This window comes from Homo sapiens, chromosome 9, assembly GCF_000001405.40.
Source record: "Homo sapiens chromosome 9, GRCh38.p14 Primary Assembly".
In the NCBI taxonomy this organism is placed as follows: Eukaryota; Metazoa; Chordata; class Mammalia; order Primates; family Hominidae; genus Homo; species Homo sapiens.
In genome coordinates, this window is record NC_000009.12 from 76,587,781 (window position 1) to 76,609,399 (window position 21,619).

The following is a 21,619-nucleotide window of genomic DNA, read 5'->3' on the forward strand; positions in this document are numbered from 1 at the left end:
AGTTCTAATTCAAGGACACAGTCAGGCTGGTGCACACAAGTGTGGGCCACAGAGATATTGGAAGATGGCATAGAACCAAGTGGGAAAAGAATAGGACCTTGGCTCTATCTAGAAAAGAGCTTCAGCTTCTCCTGGCAAAGCTTACACTAGTGAGGAGAGTTTGATGGTCAACACCAAACCCAGCTATAGATCATTGCAAGTGATCATCTTCAGCAAATGCTGTACAGAGATAGTTATGCTGATGTTACTGGTTGGTAAAATAGTGTATTAACTCCTTTAATTTTTTTGGTCATCTTTACAAATTGAGAGTTAGAAAGTATATGAAGATGTGACATCTGAAATCAGTAGCCAGTGTCCTGGTCCTGAGCATAAGTAGCAGTCACCCTAGTGACCTTAAGATTAGGACCCAACCAAGACCTTTCTGAACAGGCCATGCCTGAAAAAAGCAGATTAAAGGACTACAGCCTTTACGTAGTCCTTCAATCATATGTAGCATGATTTTGGGAGACCCAAGGAAGGGGCCCATCTAAAATCTAGGTGATTCAATGGCAAATCTGTGAAAGCCATTACTTCAGAATTCCCACCAAAAATTCCCACCAGACTTGCCTTTTTGGCCTAAGTTTTGGTTGGTTCTTAAAATGCAAATATCCTTGGGAGGGATAAACATTAAGCTTTATTGGTCACTTCCACTTTTGTATGAATGAGACAGTGCTTTCCTGACTAGGTCTGTTAAAGGAAGAAGCAGAATCAGATGCTTGAGTTCATGTAAAGAAATGCCCTAAAGAAGAGTGAACCAGGAATGGGGAATCTACATATGAGGAACAGAGTAGGATGTAGAGCAGAGGTTAGCAAACTTTTTCTTTCTTTCTTTCTTTCTTTTTTTTTTTTTTTGAGACAGTCTTACTCTGTTACCCAGGTTGCAGTGCAGTGGCATGATATTGGCTCACTGCAACCTCCACCTCCTGGGTCCAAGCAATTCTACCTCAGCCTCCTGAGTAGCTGGATTATAGGTGCCTACCACCACACCTGGCTAATTTTTTTGTATTGTTAGTAGAGACGGGGTTTTGCCATGTTGGCCAGGCTGGTCTCGAACTCCTGACCTCAGGTGATCCACCCGCCTCGGCCTCCCAAAGTGCTGGGATTACAGGCGTGAGCCACCGTGCCCAGCCCAAACTTTTTCTATAAAGGGAACATAGGCAATATTTTACTCTTTGCAATGCTTATTGTTTGCATTGCAAATACTCAACTCTGTCATTATAGAGCAAAAGAATGAGCATGGCTCTTAGAATAAAACTTAATTTACAAAAGTGAGTGGTGGCAGGCAAAATACGGCCCAAGGGCCACAGTTTGCCATCTCTTGTACAGAGGTAAAAAAAAAAAAAAAAAAAAAAAAAAATAACCATGGGCCTTGGAGACAGATAGACTTGAATCCAAATCCTATCTCTAATAACTACTAGATATATGGTCTTACGAAAATTAGTTGATCTCACTAATCCTCCTTTATCTCAAATGTAAAGTGGGATAGGAATACCGACCTCCAGTATAGCAATAAAGTCGAGAGAAGATTCTAAATATAAAGTCTTTAACGTTGTGCCTGGCACATGTAGACACCCAACAAATATTAGTCCCGCTTCTCTACTTTGACTTTTCCTTGAGCTGACATTGTTCAAAGTATGTGGGTGTGAATAAATTCTTTTTGGTCATTTGATTAACTGGTAATCAAATGGCAGATCCTAGAGAAGTAGAGTATGAACCAGGATATTTCTGGGATCCCATGTTTCTTGGAGTGATAGGATGAGACTTACTTGAGATGTTGCATGAAGTTTGGAAGTTACTAAAGGGAATTGAAGATTCTCTGTATCAGGACATCTTGGTTGCAAGCAAAATAAATTGACTGACTAATTGAAACAAAAAGTAAATTTACTGGAAGAATACGGTGCAGCTCATAAGATCCAAGAGAAGCCAGATAATTATATTTACAGCTAATGAAACAGCTGAAAGAGATCTTGGAAGAAGAATTTCGTATCAGTCTTGACATGGCTTCTAGAAAACTAAACCTTTTATATTGAAACATTTAGCCCAATATGCAAGACCCATGGAGAATTCAGATTGGATGAAGTTGGTGACAGGTCTGCCCCTTCACTGTTTTGGAGGGGGAAGACAAAGGATCTTGGGCAAGGATCTTCCAGGGGACTTCCTTAGTGGAAGAGCCGGCACCTGGATTTACAAACTGGTTGAGTGAAACTAGATTGTGGTCCCCATAGTCAGCACTCATGACAACAAAACATATCAGGATTATTGGATTATCAGACTCAACAAAACATATCAGGATTATTGGGATGAAAGGCCCCTTGTCCATCTGCTAAGGATTTCCCAACCTTGGCACTGTTGATGTTTGGGGTAGGGTAATTCTTGGTTGTCAGGGGCTGTCCTATGCACTGTAGAATGTTTAGCAGCATCCTGGTCTCTACCAAGTAGATGTCAGTAGAAGTCCCCCTTCCTCCCAGTTGTGACAACCACAAATGGCTCCAGGCTTTGCTAAATATCCCTAGGGAGAGCAAAATCCACTCCAGATTGAGAACTGTAGGGCTGGCTCGCATCCTGGGGATTCCTCTCAATGTCCAATATGCCTGGTTTGGTCTTATGTAACCACTCCCTTAAAGACTTGGTTGACCCAGAGGATAGGTTCAATTTAGTTCTTGTGATCCACCCTGCTTCCTGAGAGGATTCTTTATTGTTGAACTTACCACAAAATATTTAATGAACATTTTATTATGACAATTCTAACCATTCTCAAGTTCAGGTAAGGCTTGCATCTTCAGTGGCCTAGACACTCAAAAGCGAATGCATAGATAAGCAAATAAATATACGAATGGAAAGGACAGAAAGCATACATCCAATTTTATCATCTGCACAGTAGCTGTTGTAGTTCTTTCCTTTGCTCTACCCTAAACCTAATGCCTATTCTTCCTTTCTGATTTCTTCTGGGGGAATTACCACTCCCTCTTCCACAAATCATGCAGTCATGGGGGATTATAAAACCAGGTCCTCCTCTTCTCCTAAAGAAGCCCAAGGTTCCTGGGGGATTCCTGCCCCAGAGCCTTTCTCTAACATTGCCATACCTGTAGTGGCAGGCATGTGACCCAAGCTTAACCAGGTGGAATTTTCTCCCAGGAGTATGAGTGTGAAAGTGGCAAGGAAAAGAAAAGGGAGAAAGGAAAGGAATGGATGAGTGTGGAATGTTGGCTTCCAAAGGGACTTATAGAGCATCTGCTCCATTGTCCTCACTGCCTTGAGAGGCAAGTGGGGCTCAGCACTATGAGATGACTTTCCTAGGTTGCTGTGTAGGGAAAAAGTGGAGCTGATGGGGTCTTTGGGGAAGGAAAGAGAGAGAAAAAAAGATGGAGATGGGCAGAAGAAGGAGAGGGAAACCAAGCAAGAAGGAAGGGAAGGTGTTTCTCATGAAGGGAAGGTGTTTCTCTCATGAAAGAGAGAGAAAAAAAGATGGAGATGGGCAGAAGAAGGAGAGGGAAACCAAGCAAGAAGGAAGGGAAGGTGTTTCTCATGAAGGACGATGGTGTGGATCCACTCACTCATGACCCAGGGCTGTGGCTTGCCTGCCAGACCTTTGGGCTCTGAGGGAAATGAGACAATCTGGGCTTTGTCAACTCATGGACAACCTTCCACGTCTTCTTTGAAAATATGTGAGGCTGGACTTGGCAATAGCTTCCTCTTTGAAACAACAATTACTCCCATTACTGCCAATTCTTATTAAGCTCTATGTGCCCTGGCTATCAGGCCATTGCATGTATTTCTTCACTGATTCCTCCCAGAAAGCCAATGAGATAGATGATAGTATTGTCTCTATTTTATAGATGAAGATAGTGAGCATCAGAGAAGTTAAGTAACTTGTCTAAGGGCAGAAACAAAGTTTAAGCCAACACAGTTGCGAAACCCCTGACCACAGACAGTGGGGGGATTTACAGCTTAGATCCTGCTAGATCCAGGCCCTGGAGAAATGGAGGTGAGGACAGGAGAGTTCCTCATCTCCTGTTCCAGCTCAGACCTTGTCCTATCTCTATGCCTTCAGCTCTTTAAGCAGGACTTAGCTTTTCGAACTTGATTTTGATCTGGCTTTGGAAATGCAGCTGCCTTCTGCTGAAATGGTCCCACTCTCCATCTGGTGAATTAACTTGCTTTTCATCTCCTCCTCCCTCCCTTGGCCTGTGGGTCACCGGGCTACTCGATAGCACCTTGGCCAGAGAATCAATGGATAAGGAAGGGAAAAGAAGGAAAACTTAGCTCAACTCTTGTTACCTGAGGCAGCGACTGAAACCAATGCCCACAAAGGGGGTTTTGTATTTCCCATGAATTTAAAATGTTTCTGTCACTCATGCTACCAAATGTCCTGAGTTGGTGATCCAAAAAAGAATGCCGTCATTGTGCAAACAGGGCAATTTATAAGAAAATTCTTCACAGCACACAGCTATGCAGTAAAACCTCAACCCCAAGGAGCTCATTGCTAAGCTGTTTCTTTGTTTCTCCTGCCTTGATTGGGGGTGGAGGAGAAATGAGGGAGGAGTAGCACTGCTGAAAAGCCCAAGACCTTCAGGAGGTCCAAGTCCTGCCCCCCACCCTCTTTGTGGGTCAGTTCATGCCCCCCATGGCCTCTGTGCTACTCCCTCATCCCTACCCCCTCATTTTCTTTTCTGTCTGCCATTTCTAGTCCTGGTCAGGGAACATAAAAGCTTGGTCTTGAAATTGAGATGTCTCTATGCCAGAAAGTTACTAACAAATTACAAGCAGCTGCAGTCAACATTGGCTTCCGACAGTCTTGACCATTTGGGAGAATGTTTTCTGGTGGGGCTGGCAGTCAAGAGGAAAAGGAGGCCATCCTCATCAAAAGGGCAGCACGCATCTTTTGAAAACGTTCTCTTTTCTTTGCTTCTCTTTCCTTCTCTTTTTCCTTTCTTTTCTCTTGCTTTTTTAAATGCTCTCCCTCACAGAAGGAGGGGAGCCACTATTGTGCAAGAAAATTCTCTATTGGCTTGCAGCTTAGCGGTGCAGTAAAAGTTTGCTCACATGCTGAGGGGCAATTCCATTTTAGCTGAGGGGTGATTCTATTTCAGGCCTCAGGCTGAGAGAGAAACAAGAAGGTGAAAGTTCCTAATGTCATCAAACAAAATTACAACAAGTTTAGTTTAAAGATCTTAATTGGCTTTTATTTGTGATTCTAGAATCAGGCAATTCAGAATCTGCCTCATTCTATAAAGTAGAATGTTGTGATGAGCTGGGAAGAGGAGGTTGGTTTTACAAACAGAAAGGAGCTGAGGAAAGCAGAAACAGAGAACCGGTGGATTAGTCGTTTCAAAGTTACCTTCATTATAAAGATCAAGGCAGAGGGGATTTCCTCATCATGCTCATTGAGACTGGCCTGTTTGGGGATTTGGCTGTTATCTCTCTCTCTCTCTCTCCTATTTATTGGAAGTTCAGGTAAGCAACTTAGTTTTGGCTTGGTGGTATGGAACATTAGCATGAGTGACTCTATTTTGGTTTGATCTGTTGGGACTAGTGCAGGAGCTCATTTCAAACCAGTGGCCTCCTGTACATTTTATTTAACACTAATTTTGACTGAATTTCTTTCTTAACTTACTCTTCTTGAAAACTACTTCTTCTTCTTCTTTTTTTTTTTTTTTTTTTTTTTTTCAGAGGGTCGCACTCTATCACCCAGGCTGGAGTGTGGTTGTTACAGGAAAGGGGTCCCGATCCAGACCCCAATAGAGGGTTCTTGGATCTCGCTCAAGACAGAACTCAGGGTGAGTCGATAAAGTGAAAGCAAGTTTATGAGGAAAGTAAAGGAATAAAAGAATGCCTACTCCGGCCGGGCGCAGTGGCTCATGCCTGTAATCCCAGCACTTTGGGAGGCTGAGGCAGCGGATCACGAGGTCAGGAGTTCGAGACCAGCCTGGTCAATATGGTAAAACCCCATCTGTACTAAAAATTCAAAAATTAGCCAGGCGTGGTGGCACGTGCCTGTAATCCCAGCTACTTGGGAGGCTGAGGCAGGAGAATCCCTTGAACCCGGGAGGTGGAGGTTGCAGTGAGCTGAGATTGCGCCACTGCACTCCAGCCTGGGTGACAGAGCGAGACTCCATCTCAAAAAAAAAAAAAAAGAAAAAGAAAAAAAAAAAGAAAAAGAATGGCTATTCCATAGACATAGAAGCCCAGAAGACTGCTGGTTACCCATTTTTACAGTTATTTCCTGACGATAGGCTAAACAAGGGGTGGATTATTCTTGCCTCCCTTTTTAGATCATATAGGGTAACTTCCTGACGTTGCCATGGCATTTGTAAACTGTCAGGATGCTGGTGGGAGTGTAGCAGTGAGGACAGCCAGAGGTCATTCTAGTGACTGTCTTGGTTTTGGTGGAATTTAGCCAGCTTCTTTACTGCAACCTGTTTTATCAGCAAGGTCTTTATGACCTGTATCTTGTGCCAACCTCCTATCTCATCCTGTGAAATAGAATGCTTTAACTCTCTGGGAATGCAGCCCACTAGATCTCAGTCTCATTTTACCTAGCTCCTATTCAAGATGGAGTTGCTCTGGTTCACACACTTCTGACACAGTGACACCATCATGGCTCACTGCAGCCTTAACCTCCCAGGCTTAAGTGATCCTCCCACCTCAGCCTCCTGAGTAGCTGAGACTACAGGTGTGTGCCACCACATCCAGCTAATTTTTGTATTTTTTGTAGAGACAGGGTCTCACTATGTTGCCCAAGCTGGTCTGCTGGTCTTGAGCTCCTGGCTGCAAGCAATCTGCCTGCCAAAGGCCAGGTGTGAGCCACCGTGCCCGGCCTATTCTTAGACACCCCTTGAATGCCAAAGTGAATTAAATTTTCAACTCTATTTTCTCCTCCTTTGATCTTCTTTTAAAGATTTTGGGGGACATATTATTAATATGTTTCTAACATTTCATCATAAAAAGTCTCAAAGAGAGACAGAAAAAAGGTTACACTGCATCCTCATCCACTCTGGGTAATTTTAAAGCTAGCAAAAGTAGGGAAATAAGTGGAATTAAATAACAAACGGGGGGAGGGGGAACAAGATTCTCACTTTAGAATTCTCAATAATAAAGGCATCTCAGCTACACATTGACATGTAAATTAACAAGACTTTCATCTTTTTGGGGCTCGGCCTCTGGCCCATATCCTTAAAATGGGTCTTTAAAAGGAAGGCTCCTATTAGATGCTCTTTGTGGTCTCTTCCTTGCCACAGGGATTCATGATTATACCAAGGGCTTGGATGGTTGGAAGGCAGATGAAACCTGAGATTTGAACAGAGCCTCATAAATCTGTTGTTAGAAAAGCCAGCCTGCAACCCAGTTGATAACATCCTGGGGAGCTGCAGGTAGGACCCAGAGGAGGGAAGAGAGAGTGTGGGGCAGATCAGAGAAAGTTGTCCCTTGCCTCCCAGGGGTTAAAGTCAGCGTCTAGCCTGGGAGATAGAATCTTCAGTGGTCTAGACCAGACCAGAGCTTCCTGAACTTCAACAGCCCCAAAAACAACCGACCTGGGAATCTTAAGATGCAAATTCTGATTCAACAGGTCTGGGGGTGGGGGTGGGGGTGGGGCTGAGGGTGGGCGGCACTGAGAACCTGCATTTTTATCAAGCTCCTAAGCAAAGCCAGCTCCTAAGCTGCAACCTATGCAGGCTCTGAACTTGGTTTTAACACACTATTTTCGCCTTAAAATTTTAAATGATTTTTAAATTTGAACTTGTATTTTGTAAGTCTGATGGGGCAATCCAGCCAGCCGGAGACTAGAAGAGATCCACGCAGTGCAGTAGGAATATGCGTGGCCACAGTCTTTTGCGTTCCATTTGCATATAGTACTTGAGATGTCCCATGAGTACAAAATTTTGGTGGGAGTTCAGCAAGTCCTAAGCGGTGTGTTAAGGCTGTGACTTGGTAAGGTTTGAGTCACTGACAGCCTGGAGAGGCCATGCTTGCCATTGGTACCAGAACTTGCTATGAACACAGAAGGAAGGCAGTGATGTTCTAAGAAATATGAATGACCAAGAAACCCTGTCATATCCCTCCTGGGTTACTTCCCTATATTAGCCAACCACGGATGCTAAAATGATGACATAGAAGAGAAGGGAAAGTTCTTTTTCCTTTCAGTCCTTCCCTATCCTTCAGGAAGTGGAAGGTACTGTGAGTAGAATGTGTGCTTGTTAAGAAGTAAAACAAAAACAGTTGAGTGCCTTTATTTAGTGTTTCCACTGTTCTGGTAAGAACAAAATACACCTGTGTGTACAAGTTACAAAATACAAGTTATGTTATTTCAATGATTCCACCTTAGGAATTAAATGCTTAGATATTTGCATTTAAAACTGGCATTGCTTGATAAAAACGATGAACGGTAAATCCATGTTAGTCATTAAAAATGTTTTTTTAGTTAGAATGACATTAAATGGGCCGGGCACGGTAGCTCACGCCTGTAATCCTAACGCTTTGGGAGGCTGAGGTGGGTGAGTCACCGGAGGTCAGAAGTTCGCGACCAGCCTGACCAACGTGGCGAAACCCCGTCTCTACTAAACATGCAAACTTTTGCGGGGCATGGTGGCACACCCCTGTAATCCCAGCTATTCGGGAGGCTGAGGTGGGAAAATTGTTTGAACCCAAGAAGCAGAGGCTGCAGTGAGCCAAGATTGCACCACTGCACTCCAGCCTGGGCAACACGAGCGAAACCCAGTCTTAAAAAAAAAAAAGAATGACATTAAATGGCAAATATAAAACACCATGACAAGTTGAGAGACTGTGGAAGAAAGAGAGAAGCTTAACATGTTTGCAAATGTAGTGGCACTTTCCCCTGCTTTTTGAACAGGTGCCCATATTTTTATTTTGCATCAGGCCACACAGATTATGTCGCCAGCCATGCTCCCAGTTGATGCTGATGCTGCCAATTCACAGACCACACTTTTTTTAAAAAAATTATTTTTTATTGTTGTTGTTGTTGTTATTGTTGTTTGAGATGGAGTCTAGCTTCCTTGCCCAGACTGGAGTGCAGTGGCGCAATCTTAGCTCACTGCAACTTCCGCCTGCTGGGTTCAAGCCATTATCCTGCCTCAGCCTCCAGCGTAGCTGGGACTACAGGCGTGTGCTACCACGCCCAGCTAATTTTTTGTATTTGTAGTAGAGACGGGGTTTCACCATGCTGGCCAGGCTAGTCTCGAACTCCTGACCTCATGATCTGCCTGCCTTGGCCTCCCAAAGTGCTGGGATTACAGGTGTGAACCACCACGCTCAGCTGTTATTATATTTTTTAAATTGTCAAATAATAATTGTACATATTATTATTTTTTGTCTTTTTGGTAATAGCCGTCCTAACTAGAGAGAGATCATACCTTATTATGGTTTTGATTTGCATTTCCCTGATGATTAATGATGTTGAGCATTAAAAAATATATTTGTTGACCATTTGTATATCTTCTTTTGAGAAGTGTCTGTTCAGATCATTCATCCATTTTTTAATTGGATTACTTGGTTGTTTTTCTTTTGTGTTGAGATTTTTAAGTTCCTTATATATTCTGGCTATTAATCCCCTGTCAGACGAGTAGTTTGCAAATTTTTTCTCCCATTCTATAGGTTGCACAGACCACATTTTAAAAAGTGGGAGTCTTGAGCCAGGTTTTAAAGCCAGATGGACCTGGATTCAACTGCAGATTGTACTGCCTGCTAGTTGTTTTTGAAATCTTATATAATATGACGTATGAACACTGTTTTTCGCTCAGAGGAGTGGAGGAGTTAGGGCAGTGTAGCTCCTCCTGGCCCCCCTCAAGCTGTCCACCCACCCTAGTTCCTGGTTGATGGTCCTAGAAAAGCAGCCTCTAGTTCCTATCGAGTGGGGCAGGCTTAGAGAGCAAACAAAGACTAGAGTCTGAGAAGATTAATTGGTGCTTTTTATAGTCCATTCAGTAAAGGAATATGTACAAGAAAGGCAAAGCATTATCTTTCTGGCTTATCAGTAATAATAATTGTCTAGCTTGGTATGTGACATTTTTGCTCACATACTTTAATCTCTTTATCTATCCAATGTGGATGATAATTCCTCCCAGGCAGACATTCAAAAGACACTCTATTCTTTAAATTTTTCTTCCCGTCTGCAGATCTGAGGTGAACGAGGGCTACATCTCTCCCCTACTGTTGGTCGTTTACCTTTTGGTCCCTCTGCCAAGATATAAGCTCTTTGAGAAATGGAATATGTCATATCTCTATCCCAAACCCATCCCTGCATAGCCAACTCCACCACAGAATCAGTATTATTATTATGCCAATGTTTTATATTGGATGAATACAAATTATCTGCTTTAGCCAAGCAAAGGAAAGATTCAGACCGGGTGCAGTGGCTCATGCCTGTAATCCCAGCACTTTGGGAGGCCGAGGTGAGTGGATCACCTGAAGTCAGGAGCTCGAGACCAGCCTGGCCAACATGGTGAGACCCCATCTCTACTAAAAGGACAAGGATTAACCGGGCGTGGTGGTGGATGCCTGTAATCCCAGCTGCTCAGGAGGCTGAGGCAGGAGAAAGGCTTGAACCCAGGAGATAGAGGTTGCAGTGAGCTGAGATATTCCAGCCTGGGCGACAGAGTGGGACTTGGTCTCAAAATAATAATAATAATAATAATAATAATAATAGTAAGAAGAAGAAGAAGAATTTCAAAGTGCCATTGTTAAGATACTGCACATTCCCTCCAGATTCCTGTTATTATCTACTGTTAGTATTCTTCCTTCTCCTCTAGTCTATCCAAATCAAACAAACCCTTCAAGAATTAGCTATATGAATTTTGTGGGACTTCCAGGGGGTCCGTCCGATCCTAGCTCTGCTCTGTTTCCCCATCAGTGTCTTACCAGAATTTACTTATAAATGACTGCAGCATGTTCAGTCTTTCACGTTATTGAGAGTGAGGGAGAACGTCTGCATGTCAGAATCCCCAGCATAAGCCACATCTTTGGTCTGATTGGCTGACCCCCGAATCAATCCTAGTGGCTAAAGTCATGTTAGAGGTTGATTAGTCTAAATTTGAGATTACCTAAACTAATCACTCTGATGAGAAGAAAGTGATTCTGTTGATCCATTTAGGACATCTTCTTGCTGAAAGTGGGTTAATCCCAACCTAACAAACCACGATGGGCAAGGTAGTGGTAGAATAGCGATCGGTAGACAGTCTAGACATTTTCTTGACTTCTTATGACTGCTCTGATAGATCTGTTGTCTCTGTTAATAGACATTTCTTCTTTTAGGACTAGCCGGGCCCTTTGAGATAATAGCTTAGCTCTCATTTTATATAAACATAAGGAAACGAGGCCCCATGGGGAATAAGGAAGGAGCTTGCTCAAGATCACATGTCTTGTTAGTGGCAGAGCTGGGACTAAACAACTTGGTCTAGCCCTTAACCATACACTGTCCTGCCATTGAGGGATGTTGTACTTATATATTTTCTCTCCTTCTAAATACTAAGTTTCCAGGGGCCAAAAACAATGTATTCTGTCTGCACCATGGTATTTTGCTTAGAACAATAATGAAAACTTAGTTTAGGATTATAAACACATTAAGCAGACTCAATAATATTAGTGGAATGAATAAAAACTGTTTATCACCAAAGTGCCAAGCAAAAGTCACACAAGTTAAACTATTATTATTATTATAATCATCATCATTATTATTTGAGATGGAGTTTCACTCTTGTTGCCCAGGCTGGAGTGCAATGGCACGATCTCGGCTCACTGCAACCTCCACCTCCCGGGTTCAAGTGATTCTCCTGCCTCAGCTGGGATTACAGGCGTGCACCACCAAGCATGGCTAATTTTGTATTCTTAGTAGAGATGGGGTTTCTCCATGTTTGTCAGGCTGGTCTCGAACTCCCGACCTCAGGTGATCCGCCTACCTCAGCCTCCCAAAGTGCTGGGATTACAGGCGTGAGTCACCGCGCCTGGCCTAAACAATTATTTTTGAGTAGTTATCACTGTGATGTGACCAGAGAGATAATGTTTTTCCTCTCTTTTAAGTAAAAATGATACAGGAATTTAACCTAAAATTCTCAGACTTATGAATAGTTTCTATATATCAGAAAATCTTTATACCAATCATAGCCTTAGTTAAATGTATATGCATTCTTATATACCTATAGCTCTATATTTCTGATCTCTATATCTATCTATTTACCTATCTATCCATCTCTGGTATTCTTAAGAAAACACCTGTATGTAATGAAGGTGTAATGAAGAAGCCACTGGAGCCACTTGATTTATTAACACTGTTTTTCACTCAGAGTAGTGGAGGAGTTAGGGCAGTGTAGCTCCTCCTGGCTCTCCTCAAGCTGTCCACGTGCCCTAGCTCCTGGTTGATGGTCCTAGAAAAGCAGCCTTTAGCTCCTATCGAGTGGGGCAGGCTTAGAGAGCAAACAAAGGCTAGTGTCTGGGAAGATTAATTTATGCTTTTAATAGTCTATTCAATAATACCACAGATCTGTCACTTTATTTGTCTTTTCATATGCCTTGTGATTTTTTTGTTGAAAGCTGGACATGATATCCTTGGTAAAAGAAACTGCTATAAACAGGCCTTTGGTATGAGGTTTTATGTTTTTCTGGCAAGGACTTTGGCTGTGTTTGCTGTAGCAGTAGGTGTTGAAAGTTAAACTTTCATCTGATGTGCTTGTTTTTGTCTCCCTGTTGTCTTTGAGTTTCTCTAAAGGGCTCTTAAATTGTCACTTTTTTTTTTTTTTTCCTTGAGACAGAATTTTGCTCTGTCTCCCAGGCTGAACTGCAGTGGTGCGATCTCGGCTCACTGCAACCTCCAACTCCCAAGTTCAAGCGATTCTCCTGCCTCAGCCTCCAGAGTAGCTGGGACTACAGGTGTGCACCATCATGCCCAGATAATTTTTTTTTTTTTTGTATTTTAAGTAGAGATGGGGTTTTGCCATGTTGGCCAAGCTGGTCTTGAACCCCTGACCTCAGACAATCTGCCCACCTCAGTCTCCCAAAGTGCTGGCATTACAGGCATGAGCCACCGCACCTGGCCTTAAATATTCTCTAGAGACTTATTAAATAGTTCTTCCCATTGTTTTCCCCTGTTATTAAACACCAGCCCTATTAATGTGGTAGAAAATGTGTGGGGAAAGGAAGTGTTCTACAGTCCTGTAAATAGGTCTCAGACTTGTAGTGAGCCTGTGCCCCTCGGCTGGCACCTTCACCAGTGCCTCTCAGTTTTGTTTTGTTTTTCCCTCTCAGGTGAGATGGGAAGGCTGGAGCCCACTGCAGTTGGGTATTTTCCTTCACCCAGGTCAACCTAGGCTCCAGTTTCTCTTGAGGACAGGCATTGTTATTAAAAAACAGAATGTTCTGGGCAACTTTTTAAATGGCTACTTTCCCCCACCCCATGGGGGAATCACTTGGGAATTTTTCTCTGATCTTACAATGTAGCGGCACTCCTGGAGTTAAAACTCAAGAAAGTGTGGGGTTTGCCCTACAACAGCCCTCTCCCTGAATTTTTAATTCTCTCAGCCTTGTCCACGCTGAGCCTCCAGCCATTCGTTAGTGGCAGTTCAGGTTTTCCAGATAGGATGCTCGTTCCTTTGGAAGTTACTGCTCCTGGGCTTCTGCTCTGGTAAGTTGTGATTCTCTCTATCTGCATGTCAGTCTCTTCAGTTTGGGGGACAGCTGTTTGCTCTATGGCCTCAGTTCTCTGATGGATATAAGAAGAATTGTTAGTTTTCAGCTTGCTGGGTGGACAGAAGAGACAACTTCCAAGCTTCCTACGCACCTGACTGGAAACCAGAAGTCTCCCCCATCATTTAATTTAACTTTTCCAAATTGAAGTTTAGAGATATTCAGTCTCGCCTGGGTGTTGTGGCTCACATTTGTAATCCCAGCACTGTGGGAGGCTGAGGCAGGAGGATCGCTTGAGGCCAGGAGTTCGAGATCAGCCTGGGCAACATAGCAAGACCCCATCTCAAAAAAAAAATGTAAGAAAGAGATATTCAGTCACTCACACAGGAGGCAAAAAGCCAGAACTGGAGACCTTGGCTGATGTGACACCTAAGCTGTTGATCTTTTTCATGAAGGTGAGGCGAACACCTCAGAGACTGGCCTGGAGCCCTTTAGGAAGTTATTGCTGGGTACCATGCCTTTGCTTATCTCCATGGTCATAATGGGACCAGATTCCCGTACTCACTGGAGCAAATACAAGGCCTGTCCCAAATAGAGATGGGGAAGTGTCCCAGAGAGGTGCTTTAGCACTGTGCTTCCCTACCTTTCCCCGAAGCTTGTCCATATGGCCAAACAGGAGGACTCATAAAAGTTGAAAAACTCATTGGCTGAATAATGGTGGGAAAATGAGTATATTTTTGTCCAGAAAACATTCTCAAATGTGTGGGTCCCACACTCAGGGTGACAGTGTGGTATGACCCCAGACTCTGCCATTCATCTTGTACAAAGTTGTGTCTCAGCAGGTGTCATTGACATTGAACACAACAGCAACAGCATTCTCTGGGATTGTACAGCACGAAGCCTGACACCCTATACTTAATGTCAGGGAAACACTGTGCATGAATGAGCTGACAATTTGGGGATGGCAATTGGCCCAGTGTCTCTCCAGAGCCCAGCTTCACCAACCACAGATTATTTTCTGGCATCAGATGCTGTATAAGGGGCCCATATTCCTGGGGGAGCCTTCATGACAGGCTTAATTCTGAGAACTGCATCAGAATCTCCAGGTTTAGGGCAGGGTCCCATGACAGCAGGAGCTCTAGCCTTTTTTTTTCCATTATATAATTATTATTATTATTGAGACAGGGTCTCACTCTGTTGCCCAGGCTGGAGTGCAGTGGCATGATCTTGGCTCACTGCAACCTCTGCCTCCAGGGTTCAGGTGTTCCTTCCACCTCAAACTCCTGAGTAGCTGGGACTACAGGCACACACCATCACAACTGGCTAACTTTTGTATTTTATGTACAGATGAGGTTTCACCATGTTGCCCAGGCCTGAGCTCAAGTGATCCATCTGCCTTAGCCTCCCAAAGTGCCAGGATTACAGGCTTGAGCCACTGCGCCTGACCAGGAGAGAGTTCTAGCCTTTTGAACACTTTCATCTAGAAATTCCAGTATCCCTGGAAGCCTAAGCTGAAATTAGCTTGTTATTTTCTTGGGGCCACACTTACAGGTTTGAGTTTCTTTTGGGAGGCCAAGGGGCAGTTTAAGGACTTGTGGCAGCTGCATCCCCATCTCTCCTCTGAGCACTGGGCTCTGCTCCTTTATTCTGTAGGAGGGATTGGGATGGTGCTGATTATCAGGTGCTCAGGGGCATGGCCATGCTTCACCATGGCAGAGTTTGAACTGTGACAGGAGGTGGTAATTTCCCTCTGCAGGGATTTCTGTTCTATCCACTTACATGGCTTCAGGTAATGTTCATTTGTCACAGGATAATTTACCAAGCTATTTAGTGCTGTTTTCTACTCCCTGCCAAAAAAGATTTCAAAAGGAGGAAAAGGTAATTTTATCCTCGTTTCCAGGAAATTCTGGGCTGCCAATCTTAGAGGCCATGTATTAGTTATCTGTTGCTGCATAACAAATTATTCCAAATCTTAGTGGCTTAAAACAAGAAATACTTATTATCTCACAGTTTCTGTGAGTCAGGCATCAGCTGCTTAGTTGGCTCAGGGTCTCTTGTAAGCCTGGACTCAAGTTTGGCTATGGTTCCAGTCATCACAAGGAATATCTTGAGGAGGATCCATCTGCTTCCAAACTCACTCACATGGCTTTTGGCAAGCCTCAGGTACTCTCTGGCTGTTGTCCTAAATATCAGTTCCTTGCCACATGGGATTCTTTGTTGGGCAGCTCACAATTATGGCAGCTGGCTTCCCTCAGAGCAGTGAGGGAGGAAAAGAGAGAGGGGAAACAAGATTGAAGTCACTGTAGTTTTATAAGCTAATTTTGAGAGTGACATTTCATCACTTTTGCTGTGTTCTGTTGGTTAGAAGTGAGTCACTAGGTCCAACCCACACTCAAAGAAGGGGATTACACAAAGGCATGAATACCAGGAGGTGGAGCTCACTGAGGGTCCTCTTGAAGGTTGCTATTCTGGGTTATTAATTTTTTTTTTTAATGTGTGGTTCCCAGCCCCAAACAAAGTTGCAAGACATCTGTTATAAAGCTCTATCTAGGCCCCTGTGAGGAAGGTGAATTCGGCAGGGTGTTTCTTGGAAGGTATGGGGTCTGGAGATTGAGTTGAAAGACAAGGAGTTGCCCAAGGTTAGCAATGAGGCAAGGACTTGAGGAGCTGTGGAAGGAAAGTCCACAAGCATCAATTTCCTATCAGGAAGTATCCTATGTGGCAGCAGGAACTTTTGATGACGTAAACACGTTTGCTGGGGGCAATGAACATCAAACACCATGGTCTCAGTAACTACATAGAACTTACCAGATACCCTAAAGGTCAAAAAGCCTGCAGAGCCACCTGCCTTTGAATGGACCACAGGGTCTTGGACAATGAACATCCCCATAGCAAACATGTGCCAAAGATCAAACAACATTTTCTAGGCAATTTGTGACAGATTTCACCACTAAAGAGTAAAAGAGCCCACATAGTGACTGATATTGGGAGTCTTCTCATCCTAGTAAATGGGGATATCTTAGTCTTTTTGTGCTGCTAGAAAAAAATTACTACAGTGGATAATTTACAAAGAATAGAAATTTATTTCTCATAGTTTGAGAGGCTGGAAAGTCCAAGATTAAGGTACTGACATTCAGTGACTGGTGAGGGCCTTCTTGTTGTGTCCTCACATGGCACAAGGCAGAAGAGCAAAATAGCCCAGCTAGCTTTCTCCAGCACTTTATTTATTTATTTATTGTTTTTAGAGAGGGTCTCACTCTGTTGCCCAGGCTGGACTGCAGTGGCACGATCACAACTCACTGCAGCCTCAACCTCCCAGGCTCAAGCAATCCTCCCATCTTAGCCTCCTGAGTTGCTGGGACTGCAGGCATGAGCCACTACATCTGGCTAGTTTATAAAATTTATAAAATTTTTTATAGAGACAACATCTCCCTATTTTGTCCAGGCTGGTCTCAAACCCCTGGCCTCAAGCACTTTTCCTGCTTTGACCTCCCAAAATGCTGGGATTACAGGCATGAGCCACCGTGTTTGGCCCCTCCAGCACTTAAAAAAAAAAATTAAAAAGAGACAGGGTCCCTCTGTGTTGCCCAGGCTGGTCTTGGACTCCTGGGCTCAAGTATTCCTCCTGCCTTGGTCTCCCAAAGCGCTGTGCTGGGATTACAGGCATAAGCCATCGCACCCGGCCCCCTTTAGCATTTTTATAAGAGTTTAACCACAGCCATGAGGATGGAGTCCTAATGATTTAATCATCCCTAAAAGACTCACTCTTAATACCATCACACTGGGTCTTAGGTTCTAACACATGAATTCTAGGGGAACACCAACATGCAGACCATAGCAGGAGGTTAGAACCAGATATAATCTAATTTAGAAAAATTAAGCATCACATAGACATCTCTTTTATCATGGTATTATGAAGGTATATTATACTTATATTTATCACTTACTTCATCTTTATCACTCTTTGTAGTAGGTATCGCTTATTCTTTTTACAGAAAGAGGAACTGCAACCCAGAGAAGTGAATATATGTTTAATGAGCTAACACAGAAGAAGAAACCAGGGCTGGAGAACCCCCTGTATTGTGAGGGGTCATTTGGAATCACCTTACCTGGCTTAAACTAGCAAACGAGAAGGAAGGAAATATATTGACTAATATAATAGACAAGTCTGGAGTTAAGACTGCAATCAGGCTGCACCGTTGATTCAGGGGCTCAGTTAAAGCCTTCAGGATGCTGTTTCCCCCCCGTTCATCTCTATTGTATGCTTCCTCATTTTCAGGCTTCTTGTGGTAGCAGGATGCATCCCAGCAAGTTCAGACCTAAAACTTTCCAGATTCAAGTGCCCCTAAAGATGTGGTGGCTCTCACAAAAGTCCCTGCCAAATCGTATTGTGTCTTTCAGGTCACATATCCATCTCTGAGTCTGTCACTGGGAGAATGGGATGCTTTTTTGGACCAGGCCTGACTTACATACCCATCTGGGACAATAGGACTTTCTATGGGGACAACTTCATCTGTACATGGACAGAGACTGAAGAATGGAGGTAATCTCTCCAGGATTGAGTATTGTTGAGTAGAGGTATAGTTGATTTCCACTGGTAGAAATGATAACTCCAAAGATGACATTTTATTGCTCGATTGGATAGTACTCAAATTTTCATCTATTAGGTAATTCATTTGAACATTCCTGATGTTACGTCTCCTGTTTTCTGTTCTTTTGACCAGTCTTAACATCTTATTTAACATAATTAATTAATGAGTTAAACAAATCTTTAACATCTGTTCACTTTGTGTGAAAGTCATGTTTTTAACTTTCTTTTTTCTGAGACAAGGTCTCACTTTGTTGCTCAGGCTACGGTGAAGTGGCATGATCACAGCTCACTGCAACCCTGACCTCCTGCGCCTCAAGCGATCCTCCTGCCTCAGCCTCCCAAGTAGCTAGAATTACAGGGGGCTCCACCATGCCTGGCTAAGTTTTTAACTTTTTGAAAATTGTATTTCAACAATTGAGAGGAAGCTATCTTCCTCTCAGTATCTTCAGGGATATCATAGCTTTAAATTTAGCTAACATTTTAAACAACTTGCCATCCAGGTTAGCCAGACTTCTTGAAAGTGGTTCCTCCAGCCCCCAGCCAAGCTGCCCTGGCAGATGCTATCTGGAATTGAGATGAGCTGTTCCTTCTGATTCCTGCCCAAATTGTAGATTAGTGAGCAAAATAAATGAATGGTACTGTTTTAAGCCACTCAGTTTTGGGGTTATTTGTAACACAACAATAAATGAATGATACAAGGAGACTTTCCTTTACATACATCTTTGTCTGAAATTTTTACAACAAACCCTTGTTACATTTAAAATTTTGCTGTTGTTGTTATTTTTTCTGAGACAGAGTTTTGCTCTTTTGTTGCCTAGGCTGGAGTGCAGTGGTGCAATCATGGCTCACTACAACCCCGACCTCCTGGGCTCAAGCCATCCTCCTGCCTCAGCCTCTCAAGTAGCTGGGACTACAGGTGCGTGCCACCATGCCTAGCTAATTTTTAAATTTTTTTGTAGAGACAAGGTCTCACCATCTTGCCCAGGCTGGTCTTGAACTCCTGAGCTCAAGTGTTCCTCCTGCATCAGCCACCCAAAATGTTGGAATTACAGGTGTGAACCACCGTGCCTGGCCTACAATTTTTGAATACATATTTTGAGGAAAAATTAAAATTAGAAACGTAGCAAGAGTTTCTTTACGTACTTCCTTTACTTATATCCTAAGTGATATTCAATTTCAAAGTCATTCTAGTTGTCAAAAGATATTTCTTCAGCAAATACTGCTATGACAGTTACTCTTGATTTCTTAGATCATTTTTCACTGAAGAGAACAGAAAAGGTAAGGGAGGATGAAAGCTGTACCTGGACTATAAGGAAAGTAAATATTATCGAGGGCTGAATTTATTGTTCATTTTCTTTCCTGCTTGATCAATGCTCCTTTCCTGGTATCATGTTCTCCAAACTTCAGGTGAATGGATCAACCTTTTCCCTATTCTCGGTTTGGAGAAAGTGTTTTCCTGGGTTATATTTTTCATTTATAAGATATCCCCACCTATTGAAGGTGGGGGATTGGGATGAGGCTATTTTTGCTTCAGAACTCATTGGCCATTCCATTGTTCCTCAAGAGTGGCTCCACCATGCAAAGTGAGGGCTGGCTGGTTCTGGAGCTGGTTTTTCTCGGGCCCTACCGTGCCCTCTACACCTCACCTGTGTGCCCCGCTGAGAGCCTGCTTAGGCTTCAAGGCCAACTCAGATGCCCTAACTGGAAATCTCTTGATCTTGCCTGGTATTTAATTCCACTTCTTTTTGAAAACTAATTTTCCTTTGCAGAAACACCACTCCCCTACCTCAGTCACTATGGCTTGGTTGGGGCTGATTCCCTTCTCTCTCTCCAAGGGTAAACATACGACCCAGGCCCAACTAAGCCTGCATAATCCACCCCTTCAGTTACAGTGGTTGGCTCATAGACAGGCAACTAAGCCGGTCCAGTGACATGCAGCCCTGGGTCTTCTGCTGGGATTAATGGGAAGGAGGTGACCCTTTCCAGTAGGCTGAATCCCAGTTTGTGTGATTTCAAAGACAATGAGGTAGTACAGAAATTGTCTCATCAGCTCGGGGAAGTGAGAATTTACTAACCCCCTCCTCAGGGATTGGAGGGGGCACAGAGAAATGATGGTGGGAGTTTGTAGTCTGAGATTGAAACCAGGCTTTGAATAATCTGAGTTGTGCTAGTTGAAGTCATGGAGAAATAGCAGAAAAGCCTCCGTCTGAACATTGAGAAACACCTTGAGAAAACAGAGGAGCTCAAAGAGGAACTTGCAGAAGGCACCAGGGGTATGGTGGGCACAGTTTCCAGGCAGCCTTCAATCATCCCTATCTCCTGATAGTTACACCCTGTGTCCTACTCTCCTTTTGAGTGTGGCTAGATCTAGTGACTGACTTCTTTTAATTTTTTTTTTTTTTTTTGAATTTTTACTTTTTGGAGATAGGGTCTTGCTCTGTCACCCAGGCTGGAGTGCAGTGGGGCAATCATGGCTCACTGCAGCCTTGACCTCCCAGGCTCAAGAGATTCTCCTACCTCAGCCTCCTGAGTAGCTGGGACCACAGGCAAGTGCCATCTCACCTGGCTAATTTTTATATTTTTTGTGGAGACAGGGTCTTGCCATGTTTCCCAGGCTGGTTTCAAGCTCCTGAGCTCAAGCTATCCACTTGCCTCAGCCTCCCAAATTGCTGAGATTAGAAGAATGAGCCACTGTGCCTGTGACTTACTTCTAACCCACAGAATAGAGCAACAGTGAGAGGATGTCAATTCTGTGATAGATTGCAAAATATTGTAAGTTCCTAGCAGTCTTTCTCATTGGTTTCAATAAAAAAAAGCTGCTGTGCTGGAGGGACCCATGAGGCAAAGAACTGAGAGCAGCCTTTAGCTAACAGCCGGCAAGGAATGAGGTGCTTGGTCCAGCAATCACAGAGAAACTGAATCCTGCTGATGATCATGAGGGTGAGCTTGGAAGCAGATTCTGTCCCAGATGAACTTTGATTGTGTCTTGTTAGAAACCCTGGACCAACTCCTTGATTGCACCTGTGAGAGGCCCTGAAGCGGAGGGCCCAGCTAAGGTGTGTCTGGATTTCTGACCCACAGAAACTGAGATCATAAATGTGTGGTTTTAAGCCCGTAAGTTTTGGAATACAGTAGATCTTCATTATTCACAGATTTTGCACTTGCAAATTTGCTTACTCGCTAAAATTTATTTGTATCCCTAAAATCAGTACTCCAGCACTTTCACAGTCATTTACGGCATCTGCAGAGCAGTGAAAAATTTGAATTGCCTGAGATACATGCTCCCTGCTGAAGTCGCACAAGGTAAGGCTCTGTCTTCTTGTTTCAGCTCTCAGCAACAAGTATCCTCTTCACAGTCCA

The 21,619-nt window shown here is 43.5% G+C and overlaps 1 long non-coding RNA gene across 13 annotated transcripts in view; it reads left to right on the top strand.

Annotated features, from left to right (window-relative positions):
- Positions 1-5,127: 5,127 nt before the first annotated feature.
- LOC105376095 (uncharacterized) overlaps positions 5,128-21,619 on the top strand; it is an 84,799-nt gene continuing 68,307 nt past the window's right edge. For 12 of the 13 annotated variants that reach the window (XR_007061588.1, XR_007061590.1, XR_007061595.1 and 9 more), the window contains exon 1: positions 21,124-21,562. This is a non-coding gene — a long non-coding RNA (uncharacterized LOC105376095). Of the gene's footprint in view, positions 5,494-18,069; positions 18,212-19,077; positions 19,176-21,123; positions 21,563-21,619 lie in introns of those variants that run through there. The other variant, XR_007061586.1, reaches the window with a different exon arrangement.